Here is a 7,458-nt window from a genome sequence, read left to right on the forward strand (position 1 = left end):
TTTCAAGATATACTTTTTATATCTCAAATAATTTAATATGTTATGTTTAGTTGTTGATATAACAAGATATCTGAATACCCCATAATTGAAATTATACCTGGAAATAAATACTTGAAATACTTGCTTCAGTGACATTTGTGGAAGTATACATATTTAAGTTCAAATTATAGGTATATTGAACAAAATGATATTGGATTCTTCACTGGGTGCATACTTCTGAAACTTGTAAATAATTTGAAATTAGTTTCCAAGAACAGAAAGACAAATATTAGATAGGAAATACCAAATTCTTAAGATTCATACATATAAAAGTGAAATAAAAATCAAACTTAATCTTATCATGAATTTTCAACTGTGGCTTAATTTTAGAACTTGTTATAAAAATAGAAATGCTATTAATTTAATTATATTTATTAAAATCTAAAAATAGGTGATTATAGCTAGGACATTGACAAGTGTAACTATATGTGAGTAAATATAACTGAGGATAGCAAAACATGAAATATATCATAAAAATTGAATTATTCTATAAATAGTATTATGTCTGGATTACTTAGAACTTGATTCCACTTAGAATGTCCCTGCTTTTATTTATTTATTTATTTTTGTAAACAAAATGAGCAAGAGGTTATTACACTTCATTCACTGCGAAAAGGTAACACTACATCAAAGATAACTCACATACTTGCAGAAATATGGAAGGTATTTCTTTCTTTTTTTTGTTAAGAAATAGGGTCTCACTATGTGGCCCAGGTTGTAGTGCAGTGACTATTCAAAGGGGTCATCCCACTACTGATAAGCAGAGGAGTTTTATTCTGCTCAATTTTTGAGTTGACCACTCCTTAGGAAACCTGGTGGTCCTCTGCTCCCTGGAAGCTAACATATTGATGCCAAACTTAGTGCAGACACTTCATCAGCATAGTGCATACAACCCAGAACTCCTGGGCTCAAGTGTTCCTCCCGCCTCAGCATCCTGAGTAGCTGGGACAACAGGTGTGTGTCACCTGGCTGAAAGGTATTTTTAAATACAAATGTTGTCCAGGAGTGACAGAAGCTGGAGAATTGCACTACTTGATGGAGGCTTTGTACAAGCTTTGAACAATAATAACAACAAAATTGAAACGCCAAAAGTGTTGTTTAATTAGCAGTTAACCACCAATAAAAGGAAGCCAGCCATTTCACACAGAGGATTTTGGTAATTGATTGTGTGATTCAAGGAAATAATATTATTAGGTGTGTATTAGTCCATTATTGCATTGCTATAAAGAAATACCTGAGATTGGGTAATTTATAAAGAAAAGAGGTCTAACTGACTCACAGTTCTGCATGCTGTACAGAAAGAATGTTGCATCTGCCGGGCATCTGGGGAGGCCTCATGAAATGTATAACCATGGTGGGAAAATGAAGAGGGAGCTGGTGCTTCATATAGCTGGGAGCAGGAAGAAAAGTGAGAGGTGGGGAGGTGCTACACCCTTTTAACAACCAGATTTCCTAATAACTCACTCACTCACTATCATAAGAATAGCACCAAGGAAATGGTATTAAACCATTAAAAAGAAACCACTCCACAATCCAATAACCTCCCATCAGGCCCCACCTCCAACACTGGGTATTACAATTTGACATGAGATTTGGTTGGGGACATAGATCCAAACCATATTATTTTGCCCTAGTCCCTCCCAAATTTTATGTCTTTCTCAGTTTGCAAAATATAATCATGCCTTCCCATCAGTCCCCCAAAGTCTTAACTCACTTCAGCATTAACTCAAACATCCAAAGTCTAAAGTCTTATCTGAGATGAGGCAAGCCCCTTCTGCCTAAGACCCTGTAAAATTAAAATAAAAAAAAACTCCCAAGATATAATGTATAATGGGGGTACAGGGATTGGGTAAATACTCCCATTTCAAAAGGGAGAAATTGGCCAAAAGTAAGGGGCTACGGGCCCCATGCAAGTCTGAAACCCAGTAGGAAAGTTATTAAGTCTTAAAGCTTAACAATCTCCTTTGATGCCATCCAGGGCATACCACTGCAAGGATTGAGCTCCCAAAGCCTTGTGCTGCTCCACTCCTGTGACTTTGCAGGGTTCAGCTCCTACAGCTGCTCTCAAGGGCTGGTGTTGAGTGCTTGCACCAGTTCCAGGCACACGGTACAAGTGCTGGTGGATCTACCATTCTGGGGTCTGGAAGATAGTGTCCGTCTTCTCATAGCTCCCCTAGATAGTTGTCCAGTAGGGACACTGTGTGGTGGCTCCAACCCCACCTTTCCCCTCTTCAGTGCCCTCATAGAGATTCTCCATCAGGGCTCTGACCCTGCAGCAGATTTCTGATTGTACATCTACGTTTGTTCATACATTCTCTGAAATCTAGTCTCAACTCTTGTACTCTGTGCACCCTCAGGCTTAATGCCACATGGAAGCCATCAAGACTTATGGCTTGAACCCTCTGGAGCAGCATCCTGAACTGTACCTGGGCCACTTGGAGCCATGGCTAGAGCTGCAACAGATGAGATGCATGTAGTAGTGTCCCATTCTTCCTTCGTTGTCCTCTGAGCCTGTGATGGGAGGAGCTGCCACAAAGGTCTCTGAAATGCCCTGGAGGGTATCCCTCATTTTCTTGGCTATCAGCATTTGCCTTCCTTTTAGTTAAGCAAGTTTCTGCAGCTTGCTTGAATTTCTTTCCTGAAAATGGGCTTTTTGTTCTACCACATGGCCAGGCTGCAAATTTTTCAAGTTTCTACACTCTGCTTCCCTTCTAAATATAAGTTTCAGTTTGAGGTCATTTCTTTGCTCACACACATCAAAATAGTTTGTTAGAAGTAGTGAGATTACCTCCTGAATGCTTTGCTGCTTAGAAATTTTTTCCACCAGATACCCACCAGAACTTGAGATACTCTCAAGTTCAAAATTCCACAGATCCCTAGGGCAGGCGCACAGTGCAGCCAACCTTTTTGCTAATGCCTAACTAAAGTGACCTTTGCTCCAGTTCCCATTAAGTTCCTTATCTCCATCTGAGACCTCCTCAGCCTGGACTTCATTGTGTGTCTCTATCAGTAGCTTGGTCACAACAATGTAACAAGACTCTAGTAAGTTCAAAACTTGCCCTCATCTTCCTGTCTTCTTCTGATATCTCCAAACCCTTCCAATCTCTGCCCACTATCCAGTTTCAAAGCCACTTTCACATTTTCCGGTATGTTTACAACAATATCATATTCCTCTACCAATTTTCTATATTAGTCCTTTCTTACATTGCTCTAAAGAAATACCTGAGACTGGGTAATTTATAAAGAAAAGCAGTTTAATTGGCTCATGGTTCTGCACGTTATACAGAAAGCATGATGCATCTGCTGGGCTTCTGCAGGGGCCTCAGTAAGCTAACAATCATGGCAGAAGGTGAAGGGGGAGCCAGCACTTCACATGGCTGGAAGCAGGAAGAAGAGTGAGAGGTGGGGAGGTGCTATACACTTTTAACAACCAGACTCACAATAACTCACTCACTGTCACAAGAACAGCTCCAAGGAGATGGTGCTAAACCATTTAAGAGAAACTGCCCGATGATCCAATTGCCTCCCAACAGGCCCCACCTCCAACAGTGGGACTTACAGTTTGACATGAGATTTGGGTGGGGACACAGATCCAAATGATATCAATGTGTTAAAAGGAAAAGGAGATAGCAGTGGGAAATGGATATTTAACTTCAGTTTATGAGTTTTTATTTTAGAGTTCTAAAATTATGTCTTATACTGCCTATACAAGTGCTAGAATAGTTTCTGTATTAAGTGGTAGATATTAATATCCAAATATCATACTTACCTTCTTTGACCTTGCAGTTTAGAGGGCATTTTAATAAAGTAAACAAACACATTGATTTTTTTTAAAGGAGACATTTTTCAGTAAAGGATGTAACTATGTTAACATGAGAGATATAGAAAAATTACAGATGGACAGACAATCCTACATAGAAACCTAAGGAAGCATTTAACTCAGACACAGAGATTGAGAAGAGTAAAGTGGGTGAAATCTGGGAAAGAGTGCTTCCAGTAGAAGAAACAGAATATTGAAGGAACAGAGATTGATGTCAAGAGTTCAGGGAAACAAACCAGAATAAGAATGTTTAGACAAAAGGCTGATGGTAGAAGGATATTGAGACTGAAAGTTATAGAGAGCACAGGCTTACTCGAAAATTAGCAGACAAAAGAACATCTGTAAGTTCAATCATGAAGGAGTGCCAGAATTAAAGAGAAAATAAGGAAATAATAAAGGGAATCTTTTGATGTGAGGAACCAATTGGGCTACCAACTCAGCCTGCCAGCCTGCCATTCCAGTGACAGTAGAAAATAAATGTTCTGTAAGTTATTTGGAAATTAGAGGACAAAGTAATTGTTTGTTCTATAGGTAGAGAAACATTTTTGTAAATGATAATACAGCTGTTCTACCGATTTCTCTTAATTTTCAAAATTTTTGAAGGGGTACACTATATTTTCATGATTTCTTCATTCTGATTTCCAACTCATATTTGTTCATCATTTTCTCTTTACTTTTTAAAAAGTTGAAAGACATTCATATCACAAAATTTTCACAGGATAATTTTTCTAGTTGCAACTGTAGATTTATGTGGATATATACAAATCTCTCTAGTGACACATCTAAAGATTAATGTTATGTTCTATTCCATAGGGAGCAAATATACCACATGAAACATTGCAACTATGAATCTAACTAGACTGTATGGGAAACATATATTGAAAAATAAATTAAAATTATAAGTTCTATGAGAAAACACAAACATTTGAGTAAAAAAATGAGAAAGTTTTAGTGGTGCCTTCTTCCCATGTCAGAAAAAAGGATTCATAATGAACAACTTTTTTTTCATGTATTTCCTACAATTGAGTAAAATAATAGGACTAGGTAAGTTTACTGGTTTGCATTTTTTCATCTGGGTCTGGTTTTTCATTTCAATTGTTAGCCATTGTATTAACTACTTTCACCATTCAAAGGAATGAATGATCTGCCATAGTATTTTCTGCAGTTCCATCTCTTGTTTTCAGTATCATTCCAATTCTGCATCTATCTAATTTTGATCTCTGTTCTATTTATTTTCCTGATTCATAACATTTTGCTTTGTGCTGAGCTCCTAATTGTCTCTCTGTCATTCTCAACATTTTAGCCCTATGGTCTAAAAGATGCCCAAAAGAATGTAGCATATTCTAGTATATCAGTGGGACAACATAAACAACTTGCTTAATTGTTAATCTATTTAAAAATGAAACAGTGTTTTTCATTTTTTCAATCAATTTAACGCTGACTAGATCCTATAACTACATTCTACTTTTTATAACTAAAGAACTCCAGAAAAATAAATGTAATAGCTTTGCTGGAAAAGATTAACTTTACAATGCCTTCCTAATGACCTTACTTTTTTTTTTTTTTTGAAAAGTGTTTTCTGGTATACAAAAATAATATTCTGAAATATCTCTCTGATATTTGATTGCCAGATTTAACCTACATACCTCTGAACCTTGGTTTTTCAGACATGCAAACTGCTTAACAAGTTCCAGTGCATTAATCAATGCACCATTGCATAACTTAGAGTAAGAAAAGTTGGTAGATATTTCAGCAATGCCATAAAATATGCTTCCATTTAACACTTTGAGACAACCAATACACTATTTATATTATTGAGACAAAACAAACCTAAGATCACAGAAAAATATTTATTTTACTAGAATGGTATTTAAGTAGATAGTTTTTTTGTTGTGTTTTTGTTTGTTTGTTTGTTTTTGAGATGGAGTCTCCCTCTGTCGCCCAGGTTGGAGTTCAGTGGCCCAGTCTTGGCTCACTGTAACCTCCCCTTCCCAAGTTCAAGCAGTTCTCCCTGCCTCAGCCTCCTGAGTAGCTGAAATTACAGGCATGCACCACCATGCCTGTTTAATTTTTGTGTTTTTAGTAAAGATGGGATGTCATTATGTTGGCCAGGCTCGTCTTGAACTCCTGACCTCAGGTGATCTGCCCACCTTGGCCTCCCAAAGTGTAAGTAGATAGTCTAAATGATTATGGGTTTCAATAGGTTTTATTAATTTGTTTTAGTTAACATACAAGAGCACTACAAAACCACATTATTTTATTTTAATTTTTATCAATAAACTTCATTATATTAAAGGCCATATTGCCCACTGAATATGATTTTGATAAGCACAACTTCTATAATTTACAACTTACTGTATATGGTCTAATATAAATTGCATTTAGCTATCCTGAATAAAAGATACGAATCCCCAAAAACTTAATATATAAAATAATTTCTACAATCAATTAAGCCACATGGGACCTGGTGTGCAAGGGCTGCAAACAGCAGCATCCTAGGTAGTGTACAGCAGCCTGTTCCTTGTGTACAACAGCCTTTGCCATTGGACATTTATGTCTTGGATCTAGTGCTTTCCCTAGTCTAGGTTTAAGACTGGATGTAGTATGCCTTTGGAAAGCCTCAGGACCCAGAGGTCAGAGTTCACGTTGGCCATGTTCATCCATACCAAGCTGCAAACCCTGGAGCATGTGATTGAGGCCTTATTTAGGGCCAAATTCAAGTTCAGTGAATGCCCAAAAAGCCACATCTCAAAGAAGTGCGATTTTACTAAGTTTAATGCATATACATTTTAAGACTTGGTGGCTGAGAAACAACTCATCCTGGATGGCTGTGGGGCCAAATATAGCCCTGGAATCATGGGCCCCTGGACAAGCAGCTAGCCCTGCATTAGAAAAGAGCTGCCCCCTCTTTACACATGCCCACCAGTGAATTTTATTTCCTGTACATCTAATAAATCTATCTATCTATCATCTATCTATCTATCTATCTATCTATCTATCTATCTATCTATCATCTATCTAAATAATTCAATAATATGAAGTAGATTAAAAAAACAAACACAACTTGATGTCTAACTACTGTGGATATATTTTGTCAGTTATTAACATTCCCCTTTCAGGTTAATATCAAGTCAACAAAAATTTGGAGTTCTCTTGACCCTTTCCCCAATGTGTAAATTAGTAATATAATGTCAATATTCAGATAGGCAAATAAACTAAGCTCCCTTTGATGAAAACGACATGCAGTAACGATTCCCTGCTGAGAGTCATCTTAGTTTGTGAAATCATAATCTGGAATGGGTATATCTGCAAAATACATTAAAAGAAAGAAAATATGAAAAACATAATCTACAATACTTTTATGTATATCTAATCATTTTATATTTCTTTTTTATTATACTACTTGAAATACATACATAAAGGATAAAGAGTTTCAACAAATCTCAAAAAGGAAACCTAATTATGTATAATAATCTGACTGATTTTGTTTGCTCACCAAATTGAAATTGAAAAGAAAAAATACAGCACTCTATAAAAAAACAAAATGATTTCAAAATATAATTATTGTCTCCCTTTGAAAATATAAATGTTTAAATAAT

The 7,458-nt window shown here is 36.5% G+C and overlaps 2 pseudogenes; one reads left to right on the forward strand and one right to left on the reverse strand.

The window, feature by feature from the left end:
- RN7SL52P (RNA, 7SL, cytoplasmic 52, pseudogene) lies at window positions 726-1,009 on the reverse strand (annotated as a pseudogene).
- Window positions 6,298-6,392, forward strand: LOC124900471 (uncharacterized; annotated as a pseudogene).
- Window positions 6,393-7,458: the final 1,066 nt, after the last annotated feature.

Source organism: Homo sapiens, chromosome 21, assembly GCF_000001405.40.
Source record: "Homo sapiens chromosome 21, GRCh38.p14 Primary Assembly".
NCBI classification, from domain to species: Eukaryota; Metazoa; Chordata; class Mammalia; order Primates; family Hominidae; genus Homo; species Homo sapiens.